The sequence below is a fragment of the Homo sapiens genome, chromosome 15, assembly GCF_000001405.40.
Source record: "Homo sapiens chromosome 15, GRCh38.p14 Primary Assembly".
Classification (NCBI taxonomy): domain Eukaryota; kingdom Metazoa; phylum Chordata; class Mammalia; order Primates; family Hominidae; genus Homo; species Homo sapiens.
The window spans coordinates 82,070,238-82,084,830 of NC_000015.10; the positions used below are offsets into that span (position 1 = coordinate 82,070,238).

Genomic DNA, 14,593 nt, shown 5'->3' on the forward strand with positions numbered 1-14,593 from the left:
CACTCCAGCCTGGGGGACAACAGTGAGACTTTGTCTGAAAAAAAAAAAAAAAAAAAAAAGAATTATACGATCTTTGCACACATTAGCTTTAATGACCTCATGATGGCATTTCATTATATTTCCTCTATCAGTATTTTCCAAATGTGTCTGAAGATAAGAATAGCCTAAAGTGCCTTTTTAAAATATAGATTCCTGGGCACCATCCCAGAGGTACAGAATCAGAATTTCCCAGGGAGAGGAACTTGCATACATGGTAAGTACTTTGGGTGATTCCCATTGTCAGGAAAATCTGAGATATTCCAAAATCTAGTGATTTATCAAGGCTTACTTAATCTACTTCTGTATAGATGCTTCTTAAAAGTTTGCTTTTTAGCTTATGGAATGATTTCTTTAGGATTTATGCCACAAGTATAATTACTGGGTCAAATGCAGCAAAATGCTTTCCAACAGGACTATACGAGTTTGCGGGCTATGGGAGAGCACCTGTTTCACTCGCTTCAACAACAACAGCATTCACAACCTCTCAACCTTTGTTCTTCTTATATAACTATGTATCTACTTGCTTTCATTTGCATTGATATAAGTTCTAAGACTGGACGTTTTCTATGCTTGTATACTAAATGTATCTTCTCTTCTGAGAACTTTCTGACCCTGCTTCTTGCCTGTTTTATTCTTGGAGCCTTAATGTGTTTGTTTTCTAATATTATGAACATTTTATGTATAAGGTAGCAATTCTTTGTTTTTCATGTTTGCTGCAATATGTCCACCCTTGTTGTTGGCCTCTTCGTCTGTATTCTTTTTTGGACATGCAGAACCTACAGAGACACAGACAAACAGACACAGAAACGTGCAGAAACACACAAACGCATCTTTTCCTTTGTCACTCCTGTCACTTCCTTTGTTCCTGTATCCCTCCGTGGACAGTCTCTAAGTGTCAGGCCAGACATCAGGGCTGGAATTATGAACATGGGAGTAGAAATGGCAACACTCAGTGGCATTAAAGGCTAGAGACTGAAAGATCTCATAGGAAGAAAACCCTAAAAGAGAAGGAGTAAAAAAAAATTGAGACCCAAAAGGACTCCAACATATAGGGATTGGGGCTCAGAAACAGGGGGAGCCGGCCAAGAAGACTGAGAAAGACTGGCCAGAGAGGTAGGAGAAAAACCAGCAGCCTAGGGTATCATGGAAGTCAAGAGGGGACAGTGTGAGGAAGACGGATGTTCCAGAAAGAGTGTGTCTAGGGATAGACAAGCCTTCACTTTCTCTTCTATTTGTTCCACAGGGTTCAGTATTTAATTGTCTGATCCATCTGTAGTTTTTCTGGAGAGACCCTGTTTCTACTAAAAAATTAAAAATGAAAATAAATTAGCCAGACGTGATGGTGCATGTGTGTAGTCCCAGCTACTTGAGAGACTGAGGTAAGGGGATTGCTTGAACCCGGGAGGTCGAGGCTGCAGTGAGCTATGATTTGTGCCACTGCCCTTCACCCTGGGCAACAGAGCAAGACCCTGCCTCAAAAAAAAATTGTTGTTTCCCTAATTGTGAAAGGATGCGGTTTCCTGAACAGACACAGCTCTCTCTGCCTTTCTCTCCCATTCTCATCAGATGCTTGATCCTCACTTGAGTGCTTGAAATTAAAGTAGAACTGAGGAGAAAAAAATATTGACCATACTCATTTTTTTTACAATAAACCATTTTGGTTTTGTTTTTTGAGATAAGGTCTTACTCTGCCACCCAGGCTGGAGTGCAGTGGTGCAATCTCAGCTCACTGCAGCCTCAACCTCCCTGGGCTCAAGTGATCCTCCCACCTCAGTCCCTGTAGCTGGGACTGCAGGCACACGCCACCACATCCAGCTAATTTTTGTTTTTGTGGTAAAGATGGGGTTTCACCGTGTTACCAAGGCTGGTCTCAAACTCCTGGGCTCAAGTGATCTCATCAATCTCAGCGATCTTAGATTCTTATAAGGAACACACAACCTAGATCCCTTAGACGCACAGTTCACAATAGGGCTTGTGCTCCTATGACAATCTCATGCCACCGCTGATCTAACGGGAGGTGGCGTTCCGATGAATGTTACAGGATCCTTGGGGTGTTGTTTTCCTAGCCAGAAACCTCTGTGGCCAGTGATGTTTTTACCCAAGTTTTGCTCAGGCCTGCTGGGCCTGGCAGGCTGTACTCAGTTCACACTGCTGGCCTGGGTCCCACGCCTGCCAAGGGTGAGTCGGGTGTGGAACAGTGAGGGGTGTGTGAGCGAGCATGGGGTCCGGCCACTGCTCAGTCAGACATACTGGTGGCTGCTGTGGGGCAGGCAGCTACAGGTGCCAGCAGCGCTCTCTGCAAGGTTGTGGCTGGACCAGGTGCACTGCAAGCCACTTCCCTGGCTGGCACTGGGGAATGCAGTGGCACCCAGAAGCTTGCAGATGCCAGGAACCACAGAACCCCAAAGAGGGAGTCACGGCTCTGGCTCAGGGAGCTCCCAGGTCTGGGATCCCTGAAGGGCTGCAGCTCTTCTCTCCTTCTCTTCACCCACAATGTGGCAAGCAAGGGGCATGTTTCAGCCCTGTTTGTGTTACAGCAGCTCTTTTAGCCTCACCATTCAGTGGGTCCCGAGTTCTTGTCCTGCAACATGGAAGAATAAGGTATGTGGACAAGTGGAGGGTGAGCAAGATGAAGAGGAGCTTTACTGAGCAATAGAACAGCTCAAAGAAGACTTGCAGTGGGCAGCTCCTCTGTAGCTAGGGTGTCCTGACAAGTGTTTAGCTCCTAGCAGAGAGGGTAGCTCCTCTCTGCAGGCTGGTTGTCCTGTCCTCTGTAGTTCCCTGATGAGAGGTTATCTTCTCTCTGCAGCTGGCTATCCCAGTGTCTCTCCGTCCTTTCCTCTGCTCTGGCTGAGCCCAGGGCTTTTATGGGCCTCAGAGGGGAGGAAGTATGTACTGATTGGTCCAATGAGTGGCCATGGATGAGCCCAAAAAAGGCAGCACAAGTCCCCACTCTGGTTCACCAGACTGGCAGCTGGGCCCACAGACTTCAGACCCTCCCTGGCCTGAAGGTGGGGCCTCACCAGGACCCACCTCCTTCTGCCCAGGAACTTGTCTGCCTGCTATGCCTGGGAGGGCGGGGCTCCCATCTGCAAGAGGCCTGGGTCTGCAGCTGCCATTTGGGCAGCTGAAGTGGCACCCAGGGAGCTCCAGCCCCAACTCGGAAGAGGTGGAGCTCCCACTTGTCCCTGGTTCCCGCTGGCTTCATGGAGCACACAGCCCCACTTGCGCATTCCTGCTGCAGCCAGTATGATGGCAGCAGACACTCCAGATGACCTGCCATTACCATCAGTAATGCTTGCTTACCTGCCACTCACCTCCTGTTCGTAACAGGCCACAGACCTGTACTGGTGCATGGCCTGGGGGCTGGGGAGCCCAGCTTTAAGGAACATCTCTGATCATGACATGGGCTTAGGGAGACACAGACCTGAGGTGAGGGAGAAGGTCTGACAGGCATTTGATTCAGGTGGCCCCATGGCTTTTTGAGTAGATATGTTCTGCTTTCTTAAATGAGAGACTTCTCTAGGGACGGCTTCTCTCTTGGTGGAAAGAACAGGACTCTATCGCCACGCCAGGTGGCTGTCACAATGTGAGACTCTTCTTCTGTGCCCTGAGCTCAGACTTAGCAAGGCCAACAGATTTTGGTCAGTTTTGGGGTTTAATCACCCAACAAATGAAGCAAGTATATACCTAGGGACACCAAAAAATTCTCATAAAATAGTCGGATACTATTTTAGAAAAACATGTAGTTATCATGGAGGGAATTAGAACTCTGTTGGACTTGCTTTCACTCAGTTTTGAGTTCAACAATGTTTAATATTTTGGATTATACAGAGGGGTGGCTGGGGAAGGTACACTGTAATGTTTTCAGTATTCAGGACCTCTAAATATATTTTCCCTGCCTTGGTTAGAGCTCATGTTTCTGAAGAGGTCTTGCTCTGCTCCTCTGCCATGGTATGGAAGTAAGAATTTGAGACCAGGCACTGTAATCCCAGTGCTTCGGGAGGCCAAGGCAGGAGGATCACATGAGCCCAGGAATTTGAGGCTGCAGTGAGCTATGATCATGCCACTGACTCCAGCCTGGGCAACAGAGCTCGAGACCCTGTCTCTAAAAAAAAAATTTTAATTAAATTAAATTAAATTTAAAAAGTAAGAATTTGAATTTAAGGCTTCAGCTAATATCCTAGCTTTGCTCAGGGGATCGATAATATGTACTTTGTAGGATTTGAAGTAATCTAGGTAAGTAAAGCTTAACAATCGACATGCAGAAGCTACTCAAACAATGAAAGCTGGGTTCAATTATCACTAAATAACTAGGCCTGTAGTCTTCTTCCATTTCAGGGGTCAGCAAAGTCTTTCTGTAAAAGACCAGATAGTAAAATTTTTCAGCTTTTCAGGCCATATGATCTCCCTGTTACAACTCCTCAACTCTGCTGGTATAGTGCAGAAGCTGCCGTAGACAATACATATGCACAACTGAATGTGGCTGTGTTCCAATAAAACTTTATTTATAGATCTGGAGACTGGAATTTCATGTAAGTTTCACATTTCCCCCCACCAACCATTTAAAAATGTAAAACCCATTATTTAGATCATGGGACATATAAAAACAAGCAGTGGAATAGATTTGGCTTGAAGGCTGTTGTTTGCCACCCTCTGTTCCATGCTAAAATCAGCTCTTCCTTACCAAAGGCAATTATCAAATTTTTTTTTTTTTTTTTTTTTTTTTGAGACAGAATCTCACTGTTTCCCAGGCTGAAGTACAGTGGTGCTATCTTGGCGCACTGCAGTCTCGACCTCCCAGGCTCAAGTGATCCTCCCACCTCAGTCTCTGAGTAGCTGGAACTATAGGCATGCACCACCACACCCGGCTAATTTTTTTGTAGAGTTTTGCCATATTGCCCAGGCTGGTCTTGAACTCTTGAGTTCAAGCAATCCTCCCACCTTGGCCTTCCAAAATGATGGGATTAAAGGTGTGAGCTACTGTGCCTGGCCTTTTTCACTCTTATAAAATATAAATTAAATACCAGAGTCTTTTCATTTTTAGAACCGTGGGGACAGTCGAGTGCCCAGAAGTGCAATTGTTAATTTATTTGTGCTACCACTATCCCACATCTATGGAATATTGTTTTGATTGAGTTCCTCTGGCCCCATGGGACACTAGAAGCAGTTTGTGGGGAGAAAGGGAACACTGCCTTTTGATTTCCCAGTGTACGTGCCCAAATGGAAGCACAGAGTTTCAAAGGCTGGCTTCTCTGCTTGCCAACTGCGTGGTGCTGGACCAGCATCTCAGTGTCCAAGTCAGCCATGCTGAGGCTCCCATCTCACCAGGTTGTTGCGAGGACTCAGTGTGACATGGCCCGTTCCATACCCAGCCCATGGCAGAGCTTCACACGCGCAGCAGAGACTATCCTGGGCATCCAGAGCAAACACTGCACGCGTGGTTTCTGGGTGTGCTGGCCCCTGGAGAAGGGCTCAGGGCTGGGAGGACTCAAGGATATCTTCAGCCCACGCAGAGAGGGAGTGTGATTAGCTAAAGTGCTTTTCTGGCTTCCATGCAGCAGGTAGCAGGTTCTTATCTCCAACTCCTGAGTAGAGTTGCACAAAAAACTCCAGTCTAACCAGCCAGCTCTTACCCATTAGTTCCTGAAAAGTCCCTGCTTCTCCCCAGCCACAGGAAAGAGACAATTTTGGGAGGAAAATCTTTCAGCTGCCTGAAAGAGTTCAACCCTCTTTGAGGCAGCTGTTCTCATGTCTGCAGGTTGACTTCCGCATCTCACCTAGGGCGCACAGATGTTTGCACAGTTGCCAGAGTTCATTTACTATTATATCTACACATAAACATTATCCCATGTTATGACATGGTTGTCACATGTGCCAGTGTTGGTGGTAGCATACTACTTCTCTGAATAGCTTTATCATTGTTGTCTTAACATTTCCCTACTGTTGAACATTAGATTGGGTTTTTTTAGTGTCAAATGCAACACAGTGATACTATCTTTGTGCCCGTAGCCTTTTTATTCTGCTGAACTATTTCTTTCCTTTGGATGGACTCTAAGGAGTACTGCAGTGAGATCAGGCAGGGGGTGTCCCCCTGGCCCTCCTTGGGCTGCGTCCCTCCCACCTGGTGAGGAGTCTGCAGGCCAAGGGAACATGCCCATTGCAAATCCACGTCCTCCCTTTTAGACCATTCTCCAGGTGCCTAGGACTCCCAGAAGTCCCTGCCCACTGGCCCCATGCTCATCTCCAGGGCCTGCCCAGCCCTGGTCCCTGAGTCTCTCCTCCTGAGATCCAATCACACCACCAGTAGACACACCCGGATCTGAGGAGTGGCCACAGGCAGGGGGTAGTGAACAGAGTTTGGACGCATGGGCTAGGCTGTCCACTCACATTCACATGAGGCCCCCTCAGTGCTGGACAGACTTAGGAATTGGAAAGACAGTGGGTCTGGGGGCTAGCAACTGGCTCTCCCCATGCCGTCATGTTCCAACACAGGATGCAGAGGCATCTGAGAATTTTTAACTTGAGCCCTTCCAGGTGGTGGTGACAGTATATTTGCCAAGGCAGGAGGCTAGAACATATTTTCATTTAACAGTTTGTAACCTGATTTCTAACTTTAAACTACTTATACATATGGTATGTGAGGCTCCATTTATACCCTTGCCTGGAACCCTGCAAATCATTAAGAGGAGGTCTGGGCGAAAGGTTGTGACCATTTCTGCAGTCTCTTGCTGTGTCTATATTGCTACGTTGCTTTTCCAAATAGCTGTACTGGTTTACAGTTTATGAATGTACCGGTTTCAGCACACTCTGTCAGGCACTGGGGATCACAGTTGTTGCCGATTCAGTAGGTGTGAAATCATTTGCCAACATTGTTTGACTCTGCATTTCTTTGATCACCTGCAAGAATAATAAAAGCTACTTTTATTGAGCTCTTACTATGTATCAGGCAATCAGGCACTATGATAAGGCACTTTGCCAGTATTTTCTCATTTACTCTTCCCAGGAACCCCTTGAAGTATATATAATTAGGATTCCTATTTTAGAGATTGGAACACAGAGCTTGAAGGAATAAAGAAATTTGCCCAACATTGCAGTTAGCAATTGGGGCAGCCAGGATGAGAAACCAGGTACGTCCGACTCCAAAATCTGTGATTTTCAGTTATGTTACACATGTCTTGCATGTATCTATGTCCTAAATGTACTTACTTTTTGGTGATTGACTTTTTAAAAATTATTTTAAACTTTTAATTTTGGAATAATTTTAGATTTACAGAAGAGTTACAAAGATGGCATATATGATTCTTGTATACCCTTTATCCAGCATTGCCTACTAGTAACATCTTACACAATCATGGTACATTTGTCAAAACTAAGAAATTGTTATTGATATAATACGCCTGGGTGTGGTGGCACATGGCTGTAATCTCAGCACTTTGGGAGGCCGAGGTGGGCAGATCACAAGGTCAGGAGTTCCAGACCAGCCTGGCCATCATGGTGAAACACCGTCTCTGCTAAAAATCCAAAAATTGCCTGGGCGTGGTGGCAGGCGCCTGTAGTCCCAGCTACTCAGCAGGCTGAGGCAGGAGAATCGCTTGAACCTGGGAGGCGGAGGTTGCGGTAAGCCGAGATCACACCACTGACTCTAGCCTGGGCGACAGAGCAAGACTCCATCTCAAAAAAAAAAAAAAAAAAAAAAAAGCCTCAGACCATTTTAAACAAAACAAAGAGGGTCTCAAAATTCTCACCAACTAAAGTCACCCAGTCCCATTAGTATTCAGATCTAGCTCCAAAGTCATCCCAGCTGATCAGCACTCAGAGCCTCACTAGCTATAAATTCATTCACAACATTGACCACGTGAAATTGGTTCGCAAATTTTCATCTCAGAAACTGCATTGCACTCCTGAGTGACAGTCGCAAAGTTCCACTTCTCCAGCAGGAGACCCTCAACAACGCTCTACCGCCTTGAACCTGTGAGGGAAACTGTCTTCCCACACTATTCCCCTGAGCAAGCACAGAAAACAGAAAGCCAGGGAAGAAAGGGAAGAACCAGTCTAGGAGCATCTGGGCATCTGGATGGAAAGGGAACCCGAAGCCCCAAGAGAGCAAAGGAACTCCTCTGAAGTGAAAAGACTACACAAGGACCCATCTTCTATCTGGTCATCAAATACACGTCCACCTTCAGTGTCCAGCAGGAACGACAGACCGAACCCTTACTTCCCTTACCTGATGTCATGCTCACCTCCCTGTGCCTGAGCTCTTAGAAATTTGAAATGTGGCTGGGCGTGGTGGGTCACACCTGTAATCCCAGCACTTTGGGAGGCCGAGGTGGGCAGATCACAAGGCCAGGAGTTCCAGACCAGCCTGGCCAACATAGTGAAACACCGTCTCTGCTAAAAATACCAAAAGTAGCCGAGCGTGGTGGCATGCGCCTGTAATCCTAGCTACTGGGGAGGCTGAGGCAGGAGAATCGCTTGAACCCGGGAGGCGGAGGTTGCAGGGAGCCAAGACCGTGCCACTGCACCCCAGCCTGGGTGACAGAGCAAGAATCTGAATCTGTCTCAAAAAAAAAAAAAAAGGAAATTTGAGATGTAGTGTTCAGAATTCTCACCTGTTTAGAGCTAGCTATGCAGCTGTTTAAGATGTGGCCAAAGCTGCAAGTGAGTAAAAAGGTTTCTGAGCAGCCAAGATATTAATAAATGATATATAATTCATCCACTGAAGCTTAATACCCATATTCAAAGGCGAGCCTCCCAACCTCTCTCCCAGAGCCCATGCACTTTTGCATAACAGGCCCAGGCTGGAGTGCAGTAACGTTATCATGGCTCACTGCAGCCTCAACCTCCTGGGCTCAAGCAATCCTCCCACCTCAGCCTCCTGAGTAGCTGGGAACACAGGCACACACCACTCCCAGCTAATTTTTTTTTTTTTTTTTTTTTTTAGAGACAGGGTTTCACCGTGTTGCCCAGGCTGATCTCAAACTCCCGAGCTCAGCAGTCCACCTGCCTTGGCCTCCCAAAGTGCTGGGATTATAGGTCTGAGCCACTGCTCCCAGCCCCTTTTTAATTTTTTAATTATTATGGGCATATAATAGGTGTATATATTTATGGGGTACATTTGATTGTTTCCTTTGCTGTTCAGAAGCTTTAGAAACCTATCTTTTTGCTTCACCATTCTTATAGCATGTGGCTTTCATCTTCAAAGTCAACTCATAATCACAAAATGGCTGCTGAAATACAAGTCATCACATGTAAATTCCAGTCAGCAGGCAGGAGGAAAGGGAAACAGCAAAAAGGCATTCTTCTCAATCCCTTTCAAACAGCTCTAACAGCGCTTTAATCAATTTTGCTTACATCTCATTTGCCATCTCTCTGTGCAAGAAGAATGGGAAATGTAGCTTATTACTTCAAACCCCAACAATACAGAGGTTCTGTTGGTAAAGAAGAAAAGAAGAGGTATTGGGAAGGCAACTACTACAACCAGGCGCCATGGATGATGTAGAGTTATGTAAGACACAGCTCTGCCTTCAAGGAGCTCAGGCTTTAGGGAGAATACTTTCCTCCCAGATGGTTAAAATAACAATGATGTCTCAAGACACGCACTTTCATCTAAATGAAGAGACTCGGTAATTTAGTGCAGCTCTTTCCCAGAAGGTTCATGACTGCTGAGACTTTTGCTGAGTTTGCTTTGTTTGTTTGTTTTATTTCCATCAGAATCACATTTCTGTCTATGGAATCTGCCCAGGCGCTGCTCCCATCCAGCAGCACGTACACTCCTCATAACTCTGGGGTAGGAAATGGGAGAGTGTCTTGCTGATAGCAAGTATCTACAGCAGTTCTCAGCCAGATTTCCCTGAAAGACAAATGGCATGCAGAGGCAGAAGGCATTGTATTCCTGTCTGTCTGCCCCACCGCCCCGCCCCATAGGCTTATCCTAATCTTAGTTAGGTTGTGAGCATCCATGGCTGTGTCTCTTCTTTTGTGGCAACTTTATAAGGAGAAGAATCCTCCATGAGGGGTGTAAACCCTCTGAATGTGCATTATGTGGCTCCAACTCCACACACACAAGAGACGCATTTTTCTCTCTCTGCCATTTTGAGTAAATTTGAGGTTTCCTTAGATAAGGTGAATGTGTTACACTTTGATGGTTTTCTGTCTCAGAGGAAAGGGATGGATTTTAAGCTGGTTTCTCCTATTTCTGTCTTGGCCAGGGGTAGGAATTTCCCTTGAGTAAGACAGGAATAGAGGAAACCAGCTTAGACTCCAACCCAAACCACCTGAACAGGGGGTGAACACCTCACTTCTGGCACATTGTACCCCTGCCATCCACCTGTGCCACCTGCCCCTGATTCATCAGGGCCATCCTGTAGGTTCAGTGATAGGTGGCCCTGGAGAAAGAGTAGAGCACCACAGACTGCCTGGGGCGCATCAGTGAGAAGTGGGACCTGGGGACACAGGAGGAACATGAGCAGAGTCCAACCAGACACCCACACAACTTTGAGAATGAATCACACATCATTGCAGGTGCATCTGACCCATTTTTCATTCATTCATCTTTTACTGAGAGCGTTCCTGCTGGGCAGCAGATCAGGCATTAGACAATCAAAGTCCCTGCCTTTGTGGAGAGAGGAAGAAGTTACAAGGAGAGCGTGGTGCCCAGCTCAGTCCCTCATGCCTGTAACCCCAGTACTAGGGGAGGCCAAGGCGGGAGGATCGCTTGAGCCCAGGAGTTTAAGACCAGCCTGGACAACATAGCAAGACCCCTTCTCTGAAAAAAAAAATTTTTAATTAGCCAGGCGTGATGATGCATGCCTGTGGTCCCAACTGCTTGGGAGGCTGAGGTGGAAAGATCACTTCAGCCCAGGAGATCAAGGCTGCAGTGAGCTATGATCGCACCACTGGACTCCAGCCTGAGTGACAGAGCACAATCCTGTGTGGAAAAAAGAAAAAAAAAAGAGAGAGAGCTTGGTGGGAGCTCAAGGAGAAGCCCCACACTCAGACTGATGGTCACAGAAGCCTTTCTGGAAGAGATCTCCCAAACTGGGTTCTGAAGAATGGATGAGTCAAGCAGAGAAGGGAGAGAGGCAGAGGTTTTGTGGGTCAGTTAGATTGGAGTCACGCCTCCAACCAGCTGAGAATATATGGATCTGGTCAGGAGAGAGTTGGGGAAATGTACCAAATCCTACCTTCCTTTGCTGCACCCCATAGCTCTGCGGACAAAATGTGGTTGTCCCTGCAGTAAATACACATAAGTTTCCACTCATGAGCAGAAAGTGCCATAAGAAAGAATGAGAAGCCTTAAAAAGACAGGGGGGCATTATCTTTGGAGGTTTTCTTATCACTTACAGCAGGGAAACAAATCATTTTCATAGGTACCTCTTCAGGAAACCCTGATAGGTACTACCTGTATTTGACTCATAATAAATCAGAGGACAGGAGAGGGAAAGTGACTTTCTCAAGGTGACCCAGCCAAGTACTGACGAAGATGGGGCCAGGTTCTGGTTTTCCAATTCATGGGTCAGGCCCAACAAGGGAGTTTAACCTAGTGGTTAGTTAGTACATGGACTACGGAGTCAAGCGAATCCAGGCTTGAATCTCAGCTCTACTACTTACTGATCTCTCTGAGCCTCAGTCTTGTCTGCAAATTTGGGATAATGATTCCACCTTCACGCAGGGATGCTGTGAGGCTTGAGTGAGATAATACAAGTCTATAACACACTTCAGACTGTGCCTGGCATTTCAAACTATTCCATTATTGTTGTTGTTATTCAGTAACACACCTGGAGGGGGCCCTGTTGAACAGCTAATCTTAGGAACACAGCATGAGGACTGGGAGTTCGAGGGAGGGCCAGTCAATGGAGTGCAGACTGTGGACTGGCTTGTTTTTTTTTAACCCCGAGCATCAGAAAAGCTGAGTTCATCCTCCCTCCAAAACTGAATGCAAACCAAGTCCTGGTCCACAACTGGGGGTTGAGGGAGAATTTAAACCACCCTCTGGTGGGCCTGACTGGTACTTGTGCCAGCGTAAGACACCCATGGTGGATACAAGCCGGGCTGCTGGGTTTCGGACCCTCTGGGCTCAGTGACTCGGGACACACTTCCCAGCCCTGCTCTTCCTCCTCCCTTTCAGCACAATCCAGCCCCTCCAGGGATCAGACTCTGTGGCCCAGGAGTGGGGCAGCTTTTGGCAGGAGATCAGAGCCGTGGCCTCAGGCAGGGACGTGGACAGGAGCAGGCAGGAGGGGTCCCAGCCATGGGCGAGTGAGGTGGGAGGGAGGGTGAGAGACATCTCTCTGGGCTCTGCAGAGCCAGTGCCCAGGCAGGCCGAAGGTCTGACTCAGCCTGGCTCCTTCTTCTGGGCCCTCATCACATGTTTGTGGTCTGGACCACAGGCCCCAGCGACGACAGTGTTTGACCATGAACTACACAGCAGACAAGTCGTCCATTCCATTTCTGGTAGAGTCCTGTAGGATTTCTTGAAATCTTGTTCATGTGGTTGCTATGGACCAGACACTCTTTCAGTTCTAAAATTCAAAAGTAGCTTTTTCTTTAGAAAAAAAAAAACCGCCACAATTCAAAGTGAAATTTGTTTCTATAAAAAGGAAAAACAAATAGTGCCTTTTTAAAAAACCATAGCCCAAACTGGAACACTGAAATATGAGACTGATATGTAAATATGCATACCCTCTCATAAAAATAGGGTGGTTTTGGTTTATTTACTTTTCCCCCTTCATTTGTTGAATGTCATTGAAAATCCACCAAGAGCCATCCTGTAATGAGGAGAGTGAACGCAACACTATTCACACCTCTCCCTGTTTACAGCAGATAATTTTTTGTTTTTTTTTTTTTGAGATGAAGTCTCGCGTTGTTGCTCGGGCTGGAGTGTAGTAGCGTGATCTTGGCTCACTGCAACCTCCGCCTCTGAGGTTCAAGCGATTCTCCTGCCTCAGCCTCCCAAGTAGCTGGGATTACAGGTGCCTGCCACCACGCCTGGCTAATTTTTTTGTATTTTTAGTAGAGATGGGGTTTCACTATGTTGGCCAGGCTGGTCCCGAACTCCTGACCTCATAATCCACTTACCTCAGCCTCCTAAAGTGTTGGGATTATAGGCGTGAGCCACCATGCCTGGCCAGCAGACAATTTTTAATCCAGGGAATGGATATCGAGCTGCTTACAGGGGCATGGTTTGTTGTTGCAAAAATTATCCAGTTACCCATTCTTTATTCTCTGGTAGGGAGGTGAATTTCCAAAGTCCCAAACAGCTGAAGTGGCCTGAGGGAGACAGTGCTCCAGGATCTACCAGAGGGTTTTGAACGAGGCGCACATGGGGAAGACTTGGAGGTCTGTATCCTCCTCAAAGAGGCCCTGTGATCGTTCTTGCCCCAGGTGGAGACTGGGAACTGCCCCCTCAAAGGCGAGGCAACTGCATTGCATGGGGTTCAGGTGCTGTTCCCTGCTTCTTCTCTGTGTGGTTCTGACCTGGTTATTTAACATTTCTGAGTCTCTGTCAAATGAGAATATTGCTATCCACTCAAAGGTGTGCTGCAAGGAATAAATGAAAACATGCTTTTGCAGCCAAGGAGGAATGTGGACACTCACTGGGTTACCCATGGAGAGGAGTCAATATTCTTGGCCCTCTGGTAGTTGGGACATTCACGTTTTTTAAATCTCAAACAGATTTGAAAACAGGAGCAAGAATAACCAAGAGCAGGGGTGAAATGAAGAAAAGGGAGTATCTTGTCATGCTACCAAGAAAGAAAGTGACCACACACAGAGAGAGAGAGAGAGAGAGAGAGAGAAACAGAGATATGGGGGTATGCAAAGGTGCAATGGAGCCCATTGAAAGAACCACCCAGGGTCAAAGCAGGAACAATTTGAACAAATAAATCAACAAAGTTGCAATGGATTATAACCCAAAGCATACAATAAATACCCGTGAGTCCATACCATATAAATACCTGACTGAATAAATTAACACATTTATTAACAATTTAATAAATTTAAGAATGTGCAAGAGACAAATTCCCCATGCAGACGAATTCTACAGAACCTCTGTGGATACTCCATTCTCTAAGAGGTAGAGCATGATTCCCCACCTCGCAAGTGTGAGCTGTGTATGGGGGCTTCCTCCCAATGCATACCGCCTGGAAAGAGGGGCTAAAAGGAGTGACTTGACAGAGGAGGAACCTGACACACATTCCCTCAGCCAGACGCTCCAGGCCAGCATCCACAGTGATCAATCATGCTAATAGCATGCAGCTTCATTGCAACAGGATGAAAATGACACTTTACCTCTGCCATCTTCCTCGAAAAAACCCATAACCCCAGTACAAGCAGGAGTAAAACATCAAATACATTCCACCAGAGGGGTGGCCTACGAAATACCTGACCAGCAATCCTCAAAACTGTCAAAGTCTTCAAAAACAAGGCAAGTCTGAGAAGCTGTCACTGCCACAAGTCACCCAAGGACACCAGACGACCCAGTGTAATGTGGGATCCTGGATGGGATCCTGGAACATGAAAAGGACGTTAGGTAAAAACAAAGGAAATCTGA

The 14,593-nt window shown here is 46.6% G+C and overlaps 2 annotated features.

Moving 5' to 3' along the window:
• Positions 12,409 to 12,468: a silencer, noted in NCBI's record as "silent region_6746". NCBI's record gives its function as "represses an Ori minimal core promoter by ATAC-STARR-seq in GM12878 lymphoblastoid cells {active_cell/tissue: GM12878}" and the evidence as "EXISTENCE:reporter gene assay evidence [ECO:0000049][PMID:35858748]".
• Positions 12,971 to 13,073: a silencer, noted in NCBI's record as "fragment chr15:82375549-82375651 (GRCh37/hg19 assembly coordinates)". NCBI's record gives its function as "represses an EF-1alpha promoter that drives an FKBP-Casp9 reporter gene in an ReSE screen in phorbol 12-myristate 13-acetate-treated (for megakaryocytic differentiation) K562 erythroleukemia cells {active_cell/tissue: K562(+PMA)}" and the evidence as "EXISTENCE:reporter gene assay evidence [ECO:0000049][PMID:32094911]".